Here is a 23,971-nt window from a genome sequence, read left to right as displayed (position 1 = left end):
TAAATGTACCTTACATATCCTAGATACAAGTCTCTTATCAGATACATGAGTTACCAAAAATTTTCTCCCGTTCTGTGGGTTGTCTTTTTTCTTGATAATGTTCTTTAAAGGTCAAAAGTTTTTAATTTTGATGACATTCAATTTATCTATTTTTTTTCTATTGTTCTTTGTGCTTTTGGCATCATACCTAAGAAACCATTACCTAATCCAAAGTCACTAAGATGTATGCCTATGTTTTCTTCTAAGAGTTTTCTAAGTTTAGCTCTTACATTTAGTCTTTCATCCATTTTGAGTTAATTTTTGTCTACACTATGAGGTAGGAACCCAAGTTCTTTCTTTTACCTGTGGGTATCAGGTTTTCCCAGCACCATTTACTGTAAAGTCTGTTTGCTCCCTATTGAGTTTTAATATCCTTGCTGAAAATCAATTGACTGTAAATGTGTAAAATCTTTCTGGACCCTCTCCCGCCACAGTAGGCCACACCCTTTGCTGAGCCCCCAGCACATTTAACTTCCTCACCAAACTATAAGAGTTGTTAAGAGCAGTAAATATATTTTTATTTTTCATTGCACCCCTGTGCGTATTTGTTTGCAACACATAATAGGTTATCACTAATTATTAGTTAAATAAATGGCTGCATGGAAATAAGGTAATTACTCCCAGCTGACTCACAGTCTCATCATATACAGAATGGAGGAGGTGGACTAAGTTATTAAAGTCTTTCTGACCCTTGGTGCCCACCAAGCCATTGCTCTTTATTATCTGAAGCCTTTCCTTCCATCCTTTATATGTGGCCATTGAAATAGGAAAGACTAAAGACAAAAGTTACCTTCTTTTTTTTTTTCTTGGTTTTTTGAGACAGAGTCTCGCTCTGTTGCCCAGGCTGGAGTGCAGTGGCACGATCTCAGCTCACTGCAACCTCCGTCTCCCAGGTTCAAGCGATTCTCTTGCCTCAGCCTCCCAGGTAGCTGGGAATACAGGCATGTGCCACCACGCCTGGCTAATTTTGTGTATTTTTAGTAGAGATGGGATTTCACCGTATTAGTCAGGATGGTCTCGATCTCCAGATCTCATGATCCACCCACCTCGGCCTCTCAAAGCGCCGGGATTACAGGCATAAGCCACCACACCCGGCCCAAAAGTTACCTTCATAAATTCCATTGCTATGTGGGTAAGAAGCATCTTCTGAAAAATGCCAAAGTACATAAAGTTATTATTATATATTATTATTACTTTTCAGACAGGGTCTTGCTCTGTTGCCCAGGCTGCAGTGCAGTGCATGAACACAATTTATTGCAGCCTTGACCTTCTGGGTGTGAGTGATCCTCCCACCTCAGCCTCCCATGTAGCTGGAACTACAGGCACATGACACCATACCTGGGTAATTTTTTGATTTTTTTTTTCTTTTTTTTGTAGAGATGGGGTCACACCATGTTGGCTAGGCTGGTCTCAAACTCCTGGGCTCAACGATTCTCCTGCTTTGGGACACCTGAAGTGCTAAGATTACGGGAGTAAGCCACCATGTCTAGCATGAAGTTATTTTCGACAATCAGCAGTGGTTGTAGGGGAAAAGGGATTTTCATACCAGTAATGGTTTTTTAAAATCCATTATTGTGGTTCCCTTCTGAAAATCCTGATGCATTATTATACTGATGGATAGGTGGTCATGTTTGCCTCTTCTGAGTTATAGTTTAAGGTGAAACAGTATAAACAGGAAAAAAAAAGCCCAATTCTTCTTAGTATAAATGCCTTTAGAATGTCTTCCTCTAAAGTCTTTCCCATTTTCTCTTCCCACTTCCCCCACCACCCCCCCGCCACTACTTTTCTTTTCTCTTCTTGTTTTTATAACTAAAGATAATTCTAGCATCTTTCTTGCTCTCCTAGCCATTGAAGTAAGTCTATGGTATGTCAAATTCAGCATTGAGATACTTCAAACTTCAGGTTCTGCTCAAGAAAAATCATTAGTAAGTCACAGTAAGGTTATAGATTAATAAGATATATAGAAAGCTATATATCTACATATAGATTTAAAAATACATACAGATATTTGATGTATTCGTTAGTCTGTGTTGACGCCGCCTTTAAAATGAAACATGTCTGGTTCTTATTATATAAAACCTTGCATAGCTTAATTTGCTATACACATAGTGGACCTTCAGTATATTAGGGAAGAAACACTGACCCTCCTACAGTTCTACGATAAATTTAGTTGAAAATGACACCCTAAAGTTTCTAATGCAAACTAGGATATGACAATCACCTCTCCATATGAGTGAATTCAGATTTCTTTGCAGAACATTCTAAGCAAGCTAAAGAAGAATCCACACCAGGTGCGGTGGCCCAGGCCTGTAGTCCCAGCACTTGGGAAGGCAGAGGTGGAGGGATGGCTTGAGCTCAGGAGTTCAAAACCAGCCTGGGCAACATAGCAAGACCCTGACTCTACAAAAAAATACAAAAAGAATTAGCCGGGTGTGGTGGCATGCACCTGTGGTCCCAGCTACTTGGGAGGTGGAGGCGGGATGATCACTTGAACCCAGGAGGTCAAGGCTGCAATAAGCCGAGATTGTGCCACCGCACTCCAGCCTGGACAACAGAGTAAAACACCAAATCCCAAAATAATAATATTAATCATAAAGAAAGAAAGAAGAGTCCAACAGAAAAGGTAGCATTTGAAATAATCTTTCGAGTAGAACGATTCTTTCTCTTCCATCTCAAGATCTCCTTAAAAGTTTATTTTTACCTCCCTCGTTTCCTTGGCAGCCACACTTTCTTTAAAGATATGAGCGTCCCCTCGCACTTTAATGGGAATTTTCAATGACAGCTTGACTCATGAAGAAAGGCTAATACTACTACTTGTATAATTTATTACCATGGAGAGAGGGTAGGGGACAGAGAGAGAGAGAGAGAGAGAGAGAGAGAAGGTATCAGGACTTCAGTTGTAAGTAGAGAGATTTTATACAAAGAAGAATTTTCCATTCCTATAGGAAACTCCAGAAATTTTCAGGGATGGCAGAAGGCAGGCCAGAAATAAAGACCCTGCAGCTTTCTTGTCTTTTTCCTAAATGTAAGTGTAACAAATCCACTTAAGTACAGATGTTAACACCAAAAAGAGTTAAATTAACTTGACCATCTGTTAAGAAGAGTAATATGAAAACTCTAAACACCTTGCAACTCATTAACACTCAGGAGCAGCCTAGAGTTAGATCAGGAATCTCTGTGTAGGGTGATCTGTCTCACACTGTGTGTCTAACACTCATGAACAGCCTAGAGTTAGATCAGGAATCTCTTTGTAGCGTGGTCTGTCTCATACTGAACTCCAGTGAGGGTCAGAAAAACATGCCAGGGATCTGTAAAACCTCTAAGACAATTGCAAAATTGTTTTTGGTTTCATTTTGATTGATTTTAAAAAGAACTCCCAGAGCAAAATCTTAAGATGATCATATTCTAGGTCATCTGTGTCCAGAACTACCACAGCTTTTCATTCCATGCTTGCATTTATGAGGGCAACAAGTGAAAACAGAAAGTGAAAGCATTAACTATTAATGGTGCGTTTCTCTAGTGGGAATCCACCAATGTATTCCTGATCATCATAAGTTCACACACCTAAGAAACTCTGGCCGAAGAGATTTACTTTCACAGGTCTTGCAAAAGCTGGTTACTCTCGCACAATACTACCTTTGACAGTTTGCCAGTGCCTCAAATCTTTCCAGTAGAAATTTTAATTCAGAGTGGGGCTTTAATCCTTGTTGCAAATTAGATGATGTCTGTCTTGTAAGTAAACTTAACTCTTTACAAGGCTAGACATTTTATTGTTCTATTACCAATCATAACGAAAATGTCTAAAATTGCAGATGACAGTCAAAATTCATTTTTATAATCTTAACAAAAGTGTCATGTTTATAAAGTGAAAGTGAATAACTGGAAAATACAGAATAAAACTTGAGGCTCCATGCAATTTCTGTTGATTTTATGAATATTTAATTCACAATTAAGAGGGGCAAAGAAATACTTCCTGTGTTTCTAGAAATGCAAGAATTTACAGCTGGAGAAAACTTTTGCTACCACTTGTCCAAGCTTCTCACTTCACTGGGAAATAAACTGAGGCTCTGAGAGGTTTGCTCAGGAAATTAGCTGGAAAAGCTAAATCAGAAAGTCATGACTTTGTACTCATGGTCCTTAAGTAAAGTAGTACCCTGTATGATCTGTGTTTCACCTTTCATCAACAGTCATGTGCTAATCCTCCACAAATCAAGATAATTGTCAATTCTTTATTTCTAGGAAAACAATCCTATATGACTCTAACACTGTAAATAAAATGACATTTTATTTATGTTATCTGAAATTTGAAAAATCTTAAAATTTTTCCATTACATAAAACCTACTACAAAGCAAATGAAATACATATGCATACATTCCCAAACGATACCATGACTTCTGTGCCTGACTGCAGGGCATACAGTATATTACAAGGAGACAATTATATTGGGATTCTGAGTGTTACTAAAACCCATTTTCTATGAGCAATCTATTACAACAGAGAAGTGGCACTTGAAATAATGGAGGTCAGTTATACAAAAATGCTATGGAACCAAAAGACACATATGTTCTTGGATGCACCCTCCTTTTTCACCCCCATTCCTTTGCTCAAGCTGCCATGTTGAACCTTCTAACCAAATAAATTTCTTCTTCTATCCGTGCTGGGCAACATTCTTTTTTTTTTTTTTTTTTTTTTTTTTTTTTTTTGAGATGGAATCTTGCTCTGCTGCCCAGGCTGGAGTGCAGTGGCACAATCCCAGCTCACTGCAACCTCCGCTTCCTGGGTTCAAGCAATTCTCCTGCCTCAGTCTCCCGAGTAGCTGGGATTACAGGCGCGCGCCACCACACCCGGCTAATTTTTGAATTTTTAGTAGATGCACGGTTTTACCACGTTGGCCAGGCTGGCCTCGAACTCCTGACCTCAAGTGATCTGCTTGCCTCAGCCTCTTAAAGTGCTGGGATTACAGGCATGAGCCACCACGGCTGGCCCTAGGCAACATTCTAACCACCCTGCAAGGATGTTATCTTTCCCCTCCCAAATTCCCATGCCTTTTGCATTTTGCTGATAGCTACTATGTTCTCTTTGACATATATTTATTGGCATACCTGGTTTACATACTCCTTTCTGACAGAAATTGATTATAGCTAAGTAGAGTGCACATAATATATGGTTATTGAATTAAAGCAACATATGAAGTTTAGGGCAAAAGGGCTCTAAATCTGTCATAGTGGCTGTTCTCAAAATCTAACTTACTATCATTTTCCCTTACAGGTATATGTAAATGGCCACAGTAAAGTGATCACTATGAAGAATAAGGAGCAACACAGAAAAAATGCTTAAGATAATGTTAAATGAAAAAAGCAAAAACCAAAACTAGAATCTATTTATATTTGCAAATATTATAGATGCATATGTACAAAAAGTGGAAGGTAAAACAGAAAAATAAAAACAATTTACACTGTTTGGGTGATGGAACTACTGGCTTCTGTTAATGTGCTTATGTTTATACAATAAATTTTTTTAAATGTATGCATATGTAGTAATTAGTGATATTTATATTGGATATAGGTACTAATATTTCTGGACTATAAACAAAAAGAAAGCATATGTAGTTGTCTTATGTCTAATGTCTCTCAGCTTGTTGGGCTGCATGGACACATTTAAAGAACTGTCACTACCTGGTAGCTACCAGAACTGCAGAGTTGGTACCTGAGAAGGCACTTTGCAAGTTGGCAGTTGGCTGGTAAGTCAACTTTTACAGTCAAAACAAGCATGCAAAAAAATGTTCAAAGAACCAAAACACATGTCATCCACTGAAACTGAAAATATAGCAAACATTATATTTCTTCAGGGCACACAGGAATATTCTTAGAGTCCAGTTTACAGTTTTCTATTCCCATCCAAAGGCAAATATTTATTTCTTAATGTTTCTCCTATAAGGCATATTATTTCTAAGAAAGCTTGTTTTATTTCCTATTTGTACTCTTATCTTCTAAATATACCTAAATTGCTATTTTCAGATGTGTTGTCTCTGCTTATACATTTGATTTTGTAAAATAAATTATTATGTTAAACAGCATTATCATCTTTGTTGGAAAATCAAATAACAAGCAGAAATTAATAGATTCTTTTTTTGAGCATGTTAATTGAAAAGTCAGTGTTTCTATGAATGAGGTATACATACCCTGCCTCAGAAAACAACTGCCTAAATCATTAACAACGTGACTAAATGCTAAATGCCCCAATGATCTCCAACTCGGTATTATTCACTGGATTGATTTGGAACTGCTTCTTTATGCAGAAAAATTGAATTATATTTTTTTACTGCTAATTTTGTGATTTTACCAACATGATGATTTTAGATGAAGAAAGTAATTTGGCACAGCATTTTAGAAAAATAAGTTCAATCAATAACTTAGACTTTTATTAAATGAACATATTTTAAATTATTTGTATAATCCAATAAATCCTACTTGTCCCATTCAAGCATCATCCAGGACAAGAACAAAAGAGGCTGATTTATTAGACATATGTTAGGCTGAAGAATTTTCTCAGAATTCTTGGTTAGGCTGCGATAAGAACACAAATTTCTCTAAGTATGCTGAACAATGCTTTAGGGCATACTTAGAGAAGATGCTATAAAAAAGCTTTATTGCATCACACACATGGAACCAGATTCTCCCTCTCATGGGCTGTAGCCAGCATGAAGTTCACACTACATTAATTTGCACTTGTCGATATGCTGCTTTGCAAGTATTCTTAAGGCATGTTCTAATGTGTACTCTGACTCCTCAACTAGAATATAAACTCCCTAAGGGTAGGACCTGGGTCTCCTAGTTATTACCCCCACAGTGTCTAGCATACTGGTCTGGGTAAGCCAAGCCCTCTGGAACTGCTGTTGTCTTCGTAGGGAGCAGGGACAAGAATGTGCTAAGTCTACAGACTGAAAGAGGGTGTGAAGAATACTGGAGAGCAACTCTGTCATCACCAGGACCGAGTGATTACATGTACCAAAGGCAGGCCCAAATGGCCCCTCTCCCAGTCATTTTGTAGAGGGAGAAGTGAGACTGCAGGTGGTAGTTGGATAAGTTTCTGAAGTCTGGCTCTTGAGAAGTCATCCATTATCTTAGCATATTCCCCAAAAACCTTCTGAAAAAGAGTACACAGCTTTAAAGACACAAAGCAGAGAATAGAACGGAACAGGATTTTACTTTAATCTGTAAGTGCTAGGTTTCAAGTAGAAAAGACTAACACTGCTGTTACCCACTTTTAAAAGATACAACGATGTCTTTCTAGGACGCTTCCAGAATCAAATAGAAGACTGGACCTCAGAGGTCCATGAGCTGGGTCTTCAGGTAAATCATATTGCTGCTACTATTTAAAACTAAAACTTCCAGGGAAAAGGTTCCATGGCCTGTTGCAGCAATTTCAATCTCCTTACTGTCAGAAAATTCTTGTTTCAGGCTATTGTGATTTGTAGTTGCTGTAGTTAAATCCCTTTGTTCTTGTTCTGTCCATATTGAAGACTCAAATCAGGTGTTTAACTTTTTCCTTGAAATAATTTGTCAAATCCTTGAAGATGTGAAGCAATGTTGAAGTCTTCTCTAAGTAAAAGGTACAATTCTTCAACTTTTCTTTATTGCTTTTATATTTCTCTAACTTTAAAAAGGACTGACATAGGCCGGGCGCAGTGGCTCACGTCTGTAATCCCAGCACTTTGGGAGGCCGAGGCAGGTGGATTGCCTGAGCTCAGGAGTTCAAGACCAGCCTGGGCAACACGGTAAAACCCTGTCCCTACTAAAAAACAACAACAACAACAAAATAGCTGGGGGTGGTGGCGTGCTCCCATAGTCCCAGCTACTTGGGAGGCTGAGGCAGGAGAATTGCTAGAACCTGGGAGGCAGAGGTTGCAGTGAACCGAGATTGCACCACTGCACTCCAGCCTGGGCGACAGTATGAGACTCCGTCTCAAAAAAAAAAAGAAAGAAAAAAGGACTGACTTTTAGGGCTTGCAGGCAGGCCTTCTTCTCCTTACACAAAGCCATACAATATAGATGCACTTCTTCCAACAGTCTAGTTAATTCAACTGAATTTAGGCGATAATTCCTGTGTCCTTACACTCCATCCTTAATGTCAGTGTCCAAGTGCTGAATCACTGCTGTAGATATGAGCAACCCTCAAATCCTTTTTTGCCCTCATTTTTCCAGCCAAAATTTTTGGATCTATTTCTTTTGCAGAGATACCCCACCCTGAATATTTGCTTTGATTGCTCCATTAAAGTCATTTCAAACTTGATGTTTTCTACTCAGTAGTAGCCACAACTCCAAAATTATAATTTATACAATGCCGGTAAAAAAAAAAAAAGAAAGACGCTTTCTATATCAGCCTTCTTATCTCTGAAAAATAAAATTGGAACCAACCTAAAAACAAAATTGTAAATATAAAATCATACGGTATTTACACTCCCATCCAAGCCACTAGTAAGTCATGTGCCACTAATAAGAAAATGCCATGATTATCAGTGATACACTCGCTGAGTAATGCCATTAGATTTTTAAGAGACTAAAGATGTGGCACATTTGTTATACTGCAAAATACTCTAAAACCATTGTTATTATTTAAGATACATGGGTCTTCAAACTCAAAGCTCAGCATCCTAGTAAGTCAGAGGAAACTTAAAAAATACAGTTGTATTTCTATACTCAAGGTAGGGATTGGCAACTTTTTCTGTAAAGGGTCAGACAGTAAATATTTTAGGCTTTGTGGGCTATATGGTCTCTACCACAACTCCTCAACTCTGCTGTTGTTGCAGGAAGTAGCAATAGGTGATACATATATGAGTAGGTATGGCTGAGTTCTAATAAAACTTTATTTGTAACATAGACAGCAGGCCAGACTTGACCTATGAGCTGTAGTTGGCTAACACTTTTTTATGAATACTGGGCACATTAGCATATTGAATATGCATATGTGTCTGTATATGTGAGTGGGGATATATACACATATATTAGTATGCAAAATCTCCATTTGCCCATCCCCCTGGTTATGGCAGTTTCTTGGGCACGTGATCAGTGCAGTCACACATGTGCTGTTCAGAAGGGTCCTTACACTTGCAGTTTAATACTCTGTGGTCAATGTCTTGAAATTATTAGCAATTGTATCTTAGAATTGTGTTTTTTTTTTTTTGTTTTGTTTGTTTTGTTTTTATCCAAGACAGGGTTTCGCTCTTGTTGCCCAGGCTGGAGTGCAGTGGCGTGATCTCGGCTCACCACAACGTCCGCCTCCTGGGTTCAAGCAATTCTCCTGCCTCACCCTCCTGAGTAGCTGGGATTACAGGCATGTGCCATCATGTCCGGCTAATTTTTTTTTTTTTTTTTTGTATTTTTAGTAGAGACGGGGTTTCTCCATATTGGTCAGGCTGGTCTCAAACTCCCGACCTCAGGTGATCCGCCACCTCGGCCTCCCAAAGCGCTGGGATTACAGGCGTGAGCCACCACGCCCGGCTAGAATTGTGTTTTGTAGGTGTACTCTGATGGAACAATGGAGACTGAACTCCTGTATGTGGTCTCATCTTTCCACTGCCTCACTGCAGCCCTACGCAGTTCTCAGAAATATACTCCTCTCCAGCTTCCTCTATCCCGCCCTGCCCTGCTGCTGGGGTGGGTCCCTCCACCTAGGGTGGGACCAGGGCACTGGGGGAGGTGCGTATGTCACTGGGGGAGGTGTGTGTTCTCCTGTGTCTTTTGCCCCTGGCAGAATCCTGAATGTGTGTTTAGAGAGGATTGAGTCAAGTGTGCCCATCCCTGCCATCTTAGAGCTGGACAGGGAGGTAAGAATTCCCGCCCCAGGCCGGGCGCGGTGGCTCATGCCTGTAATCCCAGCACTTTGGGAGGCCGAGGCCGGCGGATCAAGAGGTCAGGAGATCGAGACCATCCTGGCTAACACGGCGAAACCCCGTCTCTACTAAAAATACAAAAAAAAAAAAAAAAAAAAATTAGCCGGGCGTGGTCGTGGGCGCCTGTGGTCCCAGCTACTCGGGAGGCTGAGGCGGGAGAATGGCATGAACCCGGGAGGCGGAGCTTGCAGTGAGCCGAGATCGCGCCACTGCACTCCAGCCTGGGCGACAGAGGGAGACTCCGTCCTAAAAAAAAAAAAAAAAGAAAAAAAAAAAAAATGCATGTCCAGCCTGGGTTGGTGAGGGAGGAGGGGCAAGGAGAGAGAGACTGAAGAAGAAAGGAAAATGTTTTATATTTTAGTTCTTTTTAATATCACTTCTTTCCTGCTTTCTGAACAAAAGGGTCCTGTATTTTCACTTTGCACTGGGCCCTAATCAAAGGTTAGCGGCTATAAAGAATCGTCTTCTCAGATTAATTTACCAAAAGGGAAGTTGACAAAAAAACTCTATTTCTGCATCACTCATTTCAGGTCAGCTCATCCTTGTCATGTTAGGGCCTCCTGCAACATGTCCAAATCTTAAATACAAGGCTGTGAAATTAATGCTGAATTTGGGGTTTCGGATGCGAGGAAGCTCCTTTTGGGATATGATTATCAGGAATGCTGCGTGGTAGCCATTTCCTTCACATACTTTGCTGTAGGATTAATTTATACCTCTTTAGAATGACAATGAGGCATTTTATAAAAATAAAGCATAATCAAAACATTATGTACAAAATTTAACAGACAACAACAAAGAAAGATGAAATTTTACTAAGAGTTCTGTTTATTTCCTATTAAAAAGGGTAACACCAGAAAATTGGACATACAAAAACATACTTGTTCTCCTAATTTGAATAAACCAACTGTAAAATCAACATTTTTGAGACAAAGAAATGTGAATATAGGCTGGGTGTTATTTGATATTAAAGAAGTATTGTTAACATTGTTAGGTATGATAATGACATAGTATGTAAAAATATCCTTCATAGATCCACATGGGTATTTATGAGTAAAATAACATAAGGTCTGAGATCCATTTAAAATACTTCTGCAAAAGAAGAAAAAGAGGTAGAGGAAGAAGACAGAAGAAGATGAAGATGAGAAGGTGGAGCAGAAAAAACATGACAAAGAAGATGAAGGTGACGATGAGGACAGAAGTAGAGAGAAAAAAGTGAGATAGATGGAATAGGATTGAGGAGGAGGACTGGCAAAATGATGAGTGATGGAATAGGATTGAGGAAGGGGACTGGCAAAATGATGAGTGATGGAATAGGACTGAGGAAGAGGACGGGCAAAATGATGAGTGTAGGTGATGGAAATGTGAGGACTCATTACAATATTCCCTATACCCTCATACATGTTTTTAAATTCCCCTGATCGAGTGTGTGTGTGTGTATAACCATTGCCTAAAAAAATTTCTCATAAAAATCAAAGAGCATATTTCACATTCTCCTCCATACCAAATGCCTCTTTTTCTGGTGCAAGAAGCATCCTCTGAGGCTGACAGGAATTCTCTAAGCTGAAGAGATACAAAGGAGTTGATGGGAAGGATAATCCGCCCATCGGTTCCTGACACAATATAAAGAAGAAAAGAAGAAAGTGGGTGGAAGCGACTGCCATTGTTACTCTCCTAACCTTTCCTTCTAATTATGCCAGAGCCAAGGCTCAGGTCACAAGGAAAATTATTTTGGTGGTTAACCATTTGCCCTATTTTGTATACATCAAAAAAGCTGTTGTTCTCACACATTCCAATCTCACAGTTTCCCACCCACTTTAAAAATGTATCAAGTGGTCAGATGAACTAAAATATGAATAAAATGACTATATTATGAAGAACACCTTGTTTGCAAACCTACAGATAGCCTGCTTGTGATGCTGAATTGTAAGATACACAACACTTAAACATTTAATCTACTTTATATTATTGTAGGTATTTCAGATAAATGCTCAACATGCCCCGCTTTTAAAAGTTAAATGTAAATTTCTCTCTTGAGTGCAGATGGTGGCCAAGCAAAGTAGTTCTTTGGTCTCACAGACAGAAGGTCAGGTCATGGCTGAAAGACCAAAGAACAATTGCTGCTTTGCTACTCCAAATCATCCATGGAATGAGACACCACGACTTCTTTTCTGAAACTGTCTGTTCAATACAAAACAGTTAAAAAGAGTACCTATAAGATTTCCTCACATTCCGTCTGGGAAAAAAAAATGGTAACAAGCACATCACTTCACAACACATCACAAACATCTTGTAACTGTTCAGAGGTTTTATTCCTAAAGCTGTGACCTCCTAAAAAGGCACATCTCTATCTAAAAACATACCACTAAACGTCATTATGAAAACTACTATTGTTTCACTATTATCAGAAAACGTTTACAAATGAAAACTGCTCCTTGTAAATCCTGCAACTTTAGCCTCCATACCATCACGGATTAATTAAAATGAGATTTAATACTGCAAATACTTCTAATATTGCAAATGCTTCTAAACAAGTTATTCCTTTACAAGTGATATTATACTCCTATTGTCCCTGATCTTTTTTCCTCTAGAAAATTATAATGGAATTTTAAATAACTGAGACTCTTTCCTGATGTATTTTTGCAGTTAGTCCAAAATATTATGCTGTCAGAATGCTGTAGAATAATACGAAAGGCCAAAAGTATGCCAATATATTGATTCCTTTTTAAAAAATTACAATATATCAGGAAAGAAAAGTTATCTGTGATAAACTTAGTAGACCTAGGCCTTCAGTCCCTGACAGAAAGCATTTTCCATTCCACTATCAGGCACGCCCCCAACTGGATGCAATAAAATGTTTCATTATTTGTACATGTTAATAATTAAAAGTCTTCTGAAAATGTAAAACCCATTACAACACCAAATATAGTGGTACAAAAGCAGAATTTTACTTTGGTTGCCAGGATTTTAATTTAGTACTAAGGATTTCAGTTATGACTTGAAAAGCTTTTTGTTCTAGTCTTCATTATCACTTTCATTTTCAATACTTTTCCCAATTGTCTTTGCATCATTTGTTGTAAAGACTTCATTGGCTCAAAAGAGAAAATATGTTGGAAAATATGATGAAAAACCTCGAACTAGAAACATATTTGAAAAAAAACTTATTTGGAGCGACCTACTTCTAAATTCTAAAACAATTATTTTAAAATATTGACACTAAGAACCCAGTCTTACTATTTTAATTGAATAAACAACCTGCTTTCATTGAATACAAAGAATGAAAACCTTCAAGGTCCTGTACTGTAACATAAAAATAGAAAATCAAAAGTCAGCCTATTAGAACTGCCTCTCTAAAAACTTTATCCATGTTGTCAACTAAAATTGGAGTTATCTACTTCATCTCAATAAAGATATAACATAAAACATCTGTTCAAACTGAAATTAAAGTACGCAGCTTTTATCCACTAACATTTCTAATGTCACTGTATTTAGGCTTCATGAACAAACGTATTCATGGTTATCTTAGTTAAAACTGGTTTCACTCTGCCAACAATCAATTTGATTGACATATTTACATATCAACTCATCTCATCTTACGAATTTTAAACTTTTTCATTTAAAATTGGATTCAAGTTGGCATCTTTCAAGAACTTTATGTATGTATATTTTAGGTTCAAACTGTGCATTAGAACATTTCTTTTTACTTTTGTAAGTAATAGATACACATATCCAAATGTATATTTATGACCTGTCAGATTGGAATTTTATATGCATGCTGTTGTATTCTCACCATTCATGTGAAAGGTGATAATTTTAGGCAACTATAAAAGAAATTTTCCTAACAGTGTAAACTGGATCATCCCATTAGTTAGAAACAATACAAATAAATAAATTAGGAATAAAACAACATCAACTTGAGAAAGAATGTTACTCATATCTATAATTGCTGCAATTATGCTGTGTCCTCTCTTACCTGATCTTTAATTTCAAGATCCCTGTTAGTTTTTGCTCTGAACTCTCTGTGCTCCTTTTCTGCCTCATCCTTCTCCATGTTGGTTTTATTCAGCTGATAGCGCATTTCTCCACACACCTGTTAGATTGTAAAAAACTGGATGATTACCTGCTGGAATCTACCAGGCAATGCCTGCAATTAGATCTTTTGGTGCCCCCTAGAGGTCATATAGATAAAATACAACAAAACTTTTCTAAGAATGCCATTTTCTATTAGACTATTCAACGTAGCTTGTTAAGATTCAGAAGCAACACCAGGGATTATTGATTCTAACAACTTGAAATTACAGATAAATAAATGCATAACTAAGGAATTTAAGTAATGTGCCCAAGATTATTTTATATAACAGTTTCAATTGCATATTATCAACCAAAATGCACTATCATCTAACCTTTAAATAGGTAAAGTTAGTAGTTAAAATGTTAAGCTATGTTATTATTCATTCACATTGATACAGTTAAATATTCACTCTATATTACAAAGTTTTCTTTTAAAGACTTCATCAGTTATGCTCTTTAAAAGGAAATGTATAAAGGAATTTTTGTCTGCTGATAGATATACTATTGATATCTAGGTCTGTAATATCCAGTATTGACTGCAAGGTTTGCAGATGTCATCTTATCATACACAATATGAGGTATTCAAGTTAAGGAAGATTTTCTGGCAAAAGCCATAGACTGGAACTAAGCACACTATGCACTTATGACTGTAACATTCAATATAAAAGGAAAATATGCATTTAAATGAAATAATTGTAATACGGCACCAATAATGAACACACATAGTATCTTAAAAGTGTTGTGTATCATCCTCTATACTTAACACTAAGAACTTTGTTTTATTTATTTTTTCGAATCTAGGACTGCTACAGAAATGGAAATATATTTGAAAAGTGTAATTAGCAGATAAATCTAAACAAGCAAATTATGGGCCTTTTGAGAGAACTGAGAACCTATAGAAAGTTCAATTAATGTACAAGTCAGCTAAGTTGGCTTCTAATTTACAAATATATGGCTCTTAATATATTATCTCACCGTTATGCTTTCTTGGAACTTTTCAAGTATTTGGTATTTCTCCAAAAATAATGATTTTGGAAACTTTAGAAATCAGTTTCATCATTACTGAGGTATTAGAATAGACTAAGGTATAAAACCTATATGCATTTAAGCTGGGTATGGTAGCGCATGCCTGTAGTCCCAGTTCCTCTGGAGGCTGAGGCAGAAGGATGGCTTCAGCCCAGGAGCTCAGGACTGCAGTGTACTGTGGTAGTGTCTGTGAATAGCTACTGCACTCCAGCCTGCACAATACAACAAGATCCTGTCTCCAAACAAACAAAACAGAACCTTAAAAGTAATTTTAAAAATAAATTAATCTATGTTTAAAAGCTATAGTGACAAGACAGAAGAAAAAGTCAACAGGCTTCTCCCTAGTAGCCCTCAGAAAGCTAGAACAATAATGAAGTTATTAAAAATTCTATTGGAAGTTCAAATGCCTTCAATGTGAGAGAGTTTATTCCTCCGATTTCAAAAATTATAAATTTATAAAAACTATTAATTTTAAACCTAAATAAAAATTACAAATTCAGAGTGACAGGAAAAAAATGAGGAGCCATACTTTATTTTCTTTCTCAATTGTTCACTATTAATATTTATGTCTATGAATAAAATGGAATAAAACCCCGAACTGATAACATCAGAAGATAATAATTATACAACCATGATGTTTAAAACCCAACACCAATACAAGCTGGTTATGTAAAAACTGTTTAAGCAGCAGGTCTTATTTAAAATTATTTTATCCCTTCATTTCACTCCTACAGTTCCCTGCTTTACTACTTTCAGTTCAGCATTTGCTATGTTTATCCACAGCACTCAAATTCTATTTCAAATAAATTAACACATTAAATTGAACCAGAACTATGTTATCTCCACGTTGGAAGCAACTTCAAGGCGATTTAGTCTAATCGCTCTTCTGATGTATATGTCCTTTCAGCTAGTTCTTGAGACAGAGAACTCTCTCTCTGCTGTACTGATTTCAACAGAAAGCTGCCTCTCTATTATCAACTGAAAACTGTCTTATCATAGCTTTCACCTATAAATCTAGGTTAAGTATTCCCATCCTTCTGAACTAATTCCTTCACTTCCACCCTATCTCCACACAAAAATTTGAGCTTCTTAAACTTCTACATTAGCTAATAGGAATTTTTAAAAGCAAATGGAGAATTATAGAAACTCAAGAAAAAGGGTAAAATGGCTCCCTTTCCTAATACATGTTAAAATTAATTTTAATTACTGAATTATAGAGCAACAATGGCATTACAAATATGTCAAAATTTAGGAAAATCCATTGAAGAATAAAAGGTAATATGCAAAGAGTATTTTAAGCAAATTATCTGTGTTTTTAGTGGTAAAAAATAAATTGATTTTATTAGTTTCTTAGTTTTAAAGCAATTAACTATTGAAATCTAGATGGACTTCTAGTATTTCTTACAATATGTATCTTAATCATTGCCAGTAAAGACCATTAAACATTTTAGTTCTTGATTCACGAACCAGTGATGCCCATAGCACAGACAATGTAGTATTTTAAAGTATAAATTTAAGCACCAATAAGATCATGTAGTATTAGAATCTTTATTTTAATGACCAAGTCTGAAAAGGAAAAGGAAGTGGAAGATTTTTTATGTCAAGCACACCTTTTAAGTTGTCAATATATGTCTTTGGCAATTATTGTAAACACCAACCTTATGCTATCTACGGCAAAAACAAAGCACTCTTAATTAATTTAGAAAAATGAGGTTTATCAAATATTCAATAATTAAAGTAATATAACTCTTATTTATTTGTAAGTCTGTCTCTGCCACTTAACCCTTAAGCTCTTCAAGGCCATGACTGGTGTCTAATTCATCCTTGCACATGCAATACCCACTGAGGGGCTGCATGTAGTAACTGAATGTTTGCTGAGTAACCATTAGGTGGCCTTTTATTATTCTTGAAATCACAAAACTTTTCTACTCCAAACTTCCTCCTGATAACAGTAAGAGTTTTGTACATTAGGAAAACATTTTTCAAAGGAAATATTTCCTTAAGTAACGATTACACTAAAATCTCTTTCTGTACCTTTGTGACATCCATTTCCCGAGAAGCCAGCTGGCTTTGAATTTCCTCCAGTTGATTAATAGCTGAAATCTTTTCCTTTGTAACCTTTTCCACCTGGGCCTCCAGTTGGGCAATATTCTGAGACAAGATCAACATCTGTAAGGGAAAATAAAAGTCCTAAACAATAATGTCATTTGACAAATCAAATACTAAAACTTTCTTGAATTAATAGCGTCTCAGCATAGTCACTGGGCTCTGTGAGCCATTTCTCTGTGGATTGGGTATGTTCATTTTTCTCCTTCCTCTATTCACCTATGCCCAGTGAACTGAAATATGTACTTCTCTCCTATTCATTCCCCTGATCTCTAACCTCATTTTGAAAAATGTATAACAAGATGATAAAGTCAAGGTTTTGGTTGAAACCCTAAAGTGACAGTTATCAAACACCCAATTAAGTTATGAAACAGAGTGCCATAAATAAATTCAGAGGAGATACAGAAGCATACAACTCTTAAACCCTTCTTCCACATGGAAGGTATAAAAGGACTGATGGGGAGAGTTAAGGAGGAAGTTCTTTAGAGAGAGCAACTGGTCTGCTATGGCTCCCACTACCCTTCCCGCAAACCAACAAAGAAGAGGCTCTGTGCAGTGCCCTTTGTTGGTAAAACCCCAACCGCCCCCCTATTATCTAGTTCTCCCTCATTTCTCATGTAGGTTTCAGCTCAGCCATTATCTCCTCTCCTCTAGGAAGTCTTCCTTGACTCCAGTTCCCAGCACAAAATAGGTGACCCTTCCCACGTTCAGGGTTGATATTCAGCTTGTGTGCACTGAGACAGTCATGCCTGTTGTTTGTAGCCTGTGTCCACTCTCACTGTTTCCCACACTGTAAAGATTAATATTTTGAATATCACTATGGCATGTGCTCCTACAATCTCAGTATATATACCTCCATCACACCACAACCTCTGTGTACCTCAACCACAGTACTCATCCCACTGTTTTTAGTTGTCTGTTTCCTCATTAGAGTAGAAGTTCCTCAAGAGGTACCAAATATTTGATGAATGAGTAAATACTTAGAATAAATGGCTTTCCAATGGACTCTATGGGTATTAGGTTCTCAGTTTTTCTTCTCAAGATTAGAAATGCTTTCTAGATCTTAGATTTATCCTTTATAGTTTCTGGTTTCCAATTATGTTTTGTTCTTTTCCAGGAAGTCACTCTTCTAGGCTCTTAATGTCATACTGTACTGGCAGTTTTTAAAATGTAGAAGCAGCAGAACATATAGGAATACCTATCAATTTTTATCTGTTAAAACAAGAACTGGTGACACATTTTAAATAATGATGCTTGAAACTTACCATTGTATGCTGACATGGGTGTGAATTCAGTTTTATAACTTAAATCAATTACTAAAATTCTATGATAAAAATCAACATTGAACCAAAGTTTTAGTAAATTAAGAACCTGACATCAATAAAACGAAGATAGGTGTCTGCCTTCGAACTACAGAACTAGTTAAAGTTGACCCTATGAAAATAATTTAGGCAGATATATTAATTAACTTTCTGAAGGTAGTGGAGAATTTCATATTTGACTTATGGTTTTTTACACATCCCTATCATCAAAGGATTGTCTACAAATCTAATTTTCACATACAATTAGCTTTACTAATAACAAACTAAAAAATATTCTTGGGCACATTACAATATAAAACTAAGGTTGAAAAGAAGTTAAATATAACATCAAAAATATCAATTTCATTTCAATTTAAAATTTCGAGTTCATGAGCATATATATTATGAATGTGTAATTATAGCTTTTCTGGAACCATATGACAGGAACAAACTTTAATTACCAGCTACTAAAAATCATATTTTACTTATTTATGTGGACATACATAACTGATGGTAAACAACATTGTATGGTTTTTGAAGTAAATATACCGACATTTATTTTGCTAATTATAAATTCTAGTCCATTTCTCTTCTAAGGCATGTCACAAATCTCTCCCCTTCCTTAGGATTCCTCCCTCTGCCACCCATCATTCCCTTCCTCTGCCCACTAGCTGTCTGCTCCCTCCTGCCGCCCACCCCACTTTCTGAGGTCCTCTGCCCACTAGCTGTCTGCTCCCTCCTGCCGCCCACCCCACTTTCTGAGGTCCTCTGCCCACTAGCTGTCTGCTCCCTCCTGCCGCCCACCCCACTTTCTGAGGTCTCCCCTCCTGTTGTCACACCTTCTTTTCCTCCCCACCCACCATCTGGAAGTCAACATTACACGGCAGGAGCTTCTCCATCCACATCTGTTGCAGAGCCAGAAGTAACACAGACACAGCTGCAACACTGCTGGATGTCCAGGACGTTGACATCAGGTGAGTCCTTTAAACTTTGACAGGGGCAAGGAAGAGACAAGGACACCCAGGTTGGGAGAGGCTGATAGAAATTTCTGCAGAGCAGTCCCTAGTGTATTGAACCTGGTATGAAGCTGTACTCCCTATGCAAGAGATACAAGAATTAAGGATTTTAACAATGGATACTGTCAAGGAAAGCAATTGAGAAAACGTGTGGACCTCAGGGGGTGCTCAATAAATAAATGATCAATGACTGAATGAAGTAACAAAGCTGAGTGCTCAGTGCAACACCAAGGACCATTATTGAAGATAACACACAAACTCACAGCAAGAACTGTTGATGGGGAATGATTCAAACCTGTCTAGGTAGAAGGCATCTGTTCTCCGACAGCTTCCCACACAAATGGAATTTAAAAAAAAAAAAAAGAAAAGTAAGGGAGGAATAAAAAAAACATAGAAAGAAAGAAAATCTATACGTTTCACAAGTATTCCTACAGTTAGGAAAGCAGAGATTCTTGTTCTAGCACTAACTTTAACTGCCTAGCACTTACAATGTTATGATTAACTGGTCAGTCATTATGTTCTTGGGCCAGGCAGTGTGATATGCATTCTCTCTTTAAATCCCCTTAGAAAGGCCGGGCACTGTGGCTCATGCTTGGAATCCTACTGCTTTTGGAGGCTGAGGCAGGAGGACTGCCAGGAGTTCAAGACCAGCCTGGGCAACATAATGAGACCCCAATTCTACAATTTTTTTTTTTAGTTAGCCAGGCAAGGTGGCACACGCCTGTAGTCCTAGCTACTTAGGAGGCTGAGGCAGGGGGATTGCTTGAGCCAAGTAGTTTGAGGATACGATGAGCTATGATCACACCACTGCACTCCAGCCTATGTGACACAGTGAGACCCTGTCTCTAATAATAATTAAATCCCCTAGAGAAGGAATTATATGGAATTAATTTTCATTTGAAAAAATGAGATTCAGAAAACTAAGTAACTTGCCCAAGTTCATTCAAACTAATAAGTAAAAGGTAAAGCTGGGCTTTATATAAAAGTCTGTCTGCTTTTACTAACATGAAGGGCCAAGAAATCTATCCAAGAAGGCTCCGTCTCTCTTTCTCTAAAACAACAGCCACAAGCTAAAATTTATTAAATGCCCACGGTAAGTCAGACATTATATTAGATATTTTCTAAACATTATCTCACTTAATCCTATCAATTCTTGATGTATTATTAACTTTATTTACTCCTCTGAAACTTAGAGAGGTTAAGTGAATTGTTCAAGGTCACAGAAAGGTCAAGCTGGATTCAACTCTAAATCCTTTTACTCCAAAACCACTTTCTGCCATTTCCTGGTGAGAGCTGGGACCTCAGTGCTAGGACCACTGTGAGCTCTTTATTCATACATCTTTATTTAGAGCAGGATCTTGAGATCAAATGTCAGCCAGGGCTTACTAGGGACAAAATCAACTTCAATGACTCTAGCTCAGATATGTATTGTATCGAATAGAGATCCAGAAATAAAGCCACACACATACAGCCATCTGATCTTTGACAAACTTGACAAAAATGTGCAATGGGGAAAGGATTCCCTATTCAATAAATGGTGCTAGGATAGCTGGCTAGCCATATGCAGAAGAATGAAACTGGGCTTTTACCCTTTACCATATACAAAAATTGACCCTAGATGAATTGAAGATTTAAATGTAAGATATCAAACTATAAAAATCCTAGCTGAAAACCTAGGAAACACCATTCCGGGTGTTTCCTACATGGGCCTTGGGAAAGAATTTATGACTAAGTTCTCAAAAGCAATTGCAACAAAACCCACCAATTGACAAGTGGGACCTAATTACACCAAAGAGCTTCTGCACAGCAAAAGAAACTATCAACAGAGTAAACAGACAACCTACAGAATGGGAGAAAGTACCCACAAATTATGTATCAGACAAAGGCCTAATATCCAGAATCTATAAAGAAAGTAAACAATTGAACAAGCAGAAAACAACCCCATTAAAAAATGAACAAAAGACATGAACAGACACTTCTCAAAAGAATACATACAAATGGCCAACAAACATGAAAAAGTGCTCAAGATCACTCATGAATGATATGGTTTGGACTTCTGCCCCCGCCCAACTCTCACATCACACTGTAATCCCCGATGTTGGAGGGGGGCCTGGTGGGAGGTGATTGGATCGTCGGGGCAGTTTCCCCCTGGCTGTTCTCATGATAGCGAGTTCTTACAAGATCTGGCTGTTTAAAAGTGTGTAGCGCTTCCCCCTGCTCTCTCTTCCTCCTGCTCCAACCACAGAAGACATGCCTGCTTCCCTTCCACCATGACTGAAAGTTTCCTGAGGCCTCCCCAGCCATTCTTCCCGTTCAGCCTGCAGAACCATGAGCCAATTAAAGCTCTTTTCTTTATAAATCACCCAGTTTCAGGTATTTCTTTATAGCAGTGCGAGAACAGACTAAAACACTAATCATCATAGAAATGCAAATCAAAACCACAATGAGATCCCATTTCACACCAGTCAGAATGGCTGTTATTCAAAACTCAAAAAACAACAGACCATGCAGAGAAAAGGACACTTCTGCTCTGTTGGTGGAATGTACATTAGTTCAGCCACAGTGGAAAGCAGTTTGGAAATTTCTCAAATAACTTAGAACCTACCATTCTACCAGAAATCCCATTACTGGATATATATTCAACAGAAAACAAATTGTCTTACCAAAAAGACACATGTACTTACATGTTCATTGTAGCACCATTCACAATAGCAAAGACATGGAATCAACCTAGGTGCCCATCAAGAATGGACTGGATAAAGAAAATGTGGTACATATACACCACTGAATACTATGCAGCCATAAAAAAGAATGGAATCAGGTCTTTGGCAGGAACATGGACGCAAGTGGAGGCCGTAGTCCTAAGTGAATTAACGCAGGAACAGAAAATCCAATACTGCATGTTCTCACTCACAAGTGGGAGCTAAGTATTAGGTACTCACGGATATAAAGATAGCAACAACAGAAACTGGGGATGACTAGAGAGGAGAGGGAGGGAGTGGGGTAGGGGTTGAAAAACTAACTATTGGGTACTATGCTTATGTAGGGGGTGACAAGATAATTTGTAAACCAAACCTCAGCATCATGCGATATACACAAGTAAAAAACCTGCACATGTACTCCCTTGAATCTAAAAGTTAAAAATAAATAAATAAATAAATGATACATAAAAAATGTGCTGCATTTCTGTCACCACCTTTATTCATGAAACAACTGTCAGTAAAAGAGAGGTTCTGTTACATATGAAGGCACCTGGAATACTGCCAGGCACACTTCAGCCTTCGTTTTTCCTTTCTTATCAGGAATTCTCATCAACATACTTCTACACAGTAGAACTACTCAGCAAGGCAAATGGTTTCCAGCAAACAACCAAAAAATACAAATTTCCTAGGCGTGAACAATAGCTGGTGTTTGCTATTGATACCATTCTCTCTCACACAACACTCAATTCGCAACTTCATCTCCCTTCCATGTCTTATTCATATTGGTTACAGGTGGCGTTCCTTCCCCCATACTCTGCGTTTCTAAACCCCATCTATTCTTGGAAGCTCAACGAAAATGCCATTTTTTCCCCAAAGCCTTCCATGATCTCTTGCAGACAATCAGTTCTGATCCTCTGAACTCTCAGCATTTTAGCCATAACTTCCCAATGGCATAGGGACTTTTTTCTTTTCCTTGTAATTCATTCCTTCATTCATCTAATATATACTGAGCACATTTTACATGAGAGGAATGTGCCAGGCATTGAGGATGTTACATGCAAGGGACTCACTGAACTAGGGGAGGCAAGCTATTCGACATGAATTTGTAATGAAGTGAGCTATGGGAGCCCACAGGAGACGGTCCCAATTCAGCTATGGGAGGCGCGGAGACGAGGTGGTACCAAGAAAAGTTCTGGGCCACGCGCAGTGGCTCACGCCTGTAATCCTAGCACGTTGAGTGGCCAAGGAGGGTACATTGCTTGACCCCAGGAGTTCGCGATCAGCCTGGGCAACATGGCAAAAACCTGTCTCTATAAAAAACACAATTAGCCAGGCATGGTGGCACACCTCTCTAGTCCCAGCTACCTGGGAAGCTGAGGTGGGAGGATTACCTGAGCTCAAGTGGTCGAGGCTAAGTGAGCTGTGAACACCCCACTGAGCTCCAGCCTGGGTGACAGAGTGAGACCCTGTCTCAAATACAAACAAACAAACAAACAAACAACTCTGAAGAATCAGTTAAAGAGGGCAGAGGAAGACTCCTCTAGGCAGAGGGCAAAGCACATGCAATATCCTGCACTGGAAAAAACAGTATGGAAGAGAGGCATATGTACATGCTTGGGGAAGCACAAGTAGGTCAGTGTGGTGAGGGTGCAAAGAAGAAAAATGAAGGAACATAAGACCGGAGAGCCAAAGAGAGGAACAATATTGTAGAGTCTTCATGCTATGATAAAGGATCCTAAATTTTATTCAAGGTTGCAGGGAGACGTGAAAGGAGTTTTAAAGCAAGAGACTGACATATTGAGAAAGATCATCCCAGCTGC

The 23,971-nt window shown here is 38.0% G+C and overlaps 1 protein-coding gene and 1 non-coding gene across 7 annotated transcripts in view; both read right to left on the bottom strand.

Annotated features, from left to right (window-relative positions):
• SDCCAG8 (SHH signaling and ciliogenesis regulator SDCCAG8) overlaps window positions 1-23,971 on the bottom strand; it is a 244,051-nt gene that overhangs the window by 141,858 nt on the left and 78,222 nt on the right. For all 6 annotated transcript variants that reach the window (NM_001350249.2, NM_001350251.2, NM_001350248.2 and 3 more), the window contains 2 exons: window positions 17,061-17,195; window positions 13,903-14,019 (listed from right to left, as the gene is read on the bottom strand). In NM_001350249.2, coding sequence (NP_001337178.1) covers window positions 13,903-14,019; window positions 17,061-17,195 — 252 coding nt within the window. The remainder of the gene's footprint in view (window positions 1-13,902; window positions 14,020-17,060; window positions 17,196-23,971) is intronic.
• On the bottom strand, window positions 11,979-12,058 carry MIR4677 (microRNA 4677). Its single transcript, NR_039824.1, has one exon. It is a non-coding gene; the product is annotated as a microRNA 4677 (primary transcript).

This window comes from Homo sapiens, chromosome 1 (assembly GCF_000001405.40).
Source record: "Homo sapiens chromosome 1, GRCh38.p14 Primary Assembly".
NCBI classification, from domain to species: domain Eukaryota; kingdom Metazoa; phylum Chordata; class Mammalia; order Primates; family Hominidae; genus Homo; species Homo sapiens.
Note: the sequence above shows the minus strand (reverse complement) of the source record. Positions and strands in the feature narration are given on the sequence as shown.